Source organism: Homo sapiens, chromosome 4 (assembly GCF_000001405.40).
Source record: "Homo sapiens chromosome 4, GRCh38.p14 Primary Assembly".
NCBI classification, from domain to species: Eukaryota; Metazoa; Chordata; class Mammalia; order Primates; family Hominidae; genus Homo; species Homo sapiens.
Window position 1 is genome coordinate 13,049,287 of NC_000004.12, and position 1,251 is coordinate 13,050,537.

The window sequence follows — 1,251 nt, forward strand, 5'->3', positions numbered from 1 at the left end:
ATGAAATATTCAAAGTAATTTAATGACGAAAGAAAGTTTTTTCAAAAAATTGTGTTGAAACAACTGAATATTCATAAGGAAAAGATTTATATATATTATAAAATATATATCATATATATGTATATATAAAAAATAAACTCTTACTTCACACTACACACACAAAATAGATTATAGACCTAAAAGTAGGAGAGAGATTATAAAGTATAAGAGGATATCTTCATGACTTTGATATAGGCAAGATTTTCTGGGCAGAACCCTGAAAGTATTAGTCAAAAAAGGAAAAGAACTGATAAATCGGACTTGATCAAAATTTAAACTTTTATCCACCAAAAAAAAAAAATAGAAATGACTAGGCAAGGCACACAGTGGGAGAAAAATATTTGCAGAATAAATATGACAAAGGACTGTATCCAGAATATATAAAGAACACCTACAACTCAAAAATAAAAAGTCAAACAAACTACATAAAAATGGCAGTGCGGAGAAAGGGGGAAAGCGAAATACTGGAGCAGACATCTCACAGAGGAAAATATGTGAATGGTTAAAAGCCTGTAACAAAGTGCTCAACATCATTAGTCATCAGGAAAATTCAAATTAAAACCACATGGTGATATCCACTACACACCTACTAAAATGGCTAAAATATTTTAAGCTGACAATAACAAGAGTTGATGAAGATGAAAAGCAACTGGAACTCTCACACATGGTTGGTGGGCATGTAAAATAGTAAAACCACTTTGGAAACTGATTTGACAGGTTCTTAGAAAATTAAACATATACTCTACCCTACAATCCATGAATTCCACTTCTCTGCATTTTCCTAAGGGAAATAAAAACTTAGGTTCTATGTCCACAAAAATATTTTCCCACAACTATTCTGAACTCTTTATTCATAAAAGCCAAAAACTTAAAAAAACTTAAATGTCCCAACAGAAATAGAAATTTCATGATATTCATTGAATAAATAAATTCTGATATATGCATATTATGGAAAACTACATCATAGTAGTAAAAAAGAAATACATTACTGATACATGCAACGATATGAATGAATCTCACATATAGTGTTCTGAGTGAAATAAAAATAATCATGAAAGGGCATATACTATATGATTTCATTTATATGAAGTTCTAGACAAAACTAAACATGTGGTGAAAGAAATCAGAACATTGGCTGGTTTAAGAGAGAAGGATGTGTGGAAGTCAGCTGGAAGTGGCATGAGGAAACTTCCTGAGGTGATGGAATTCTGT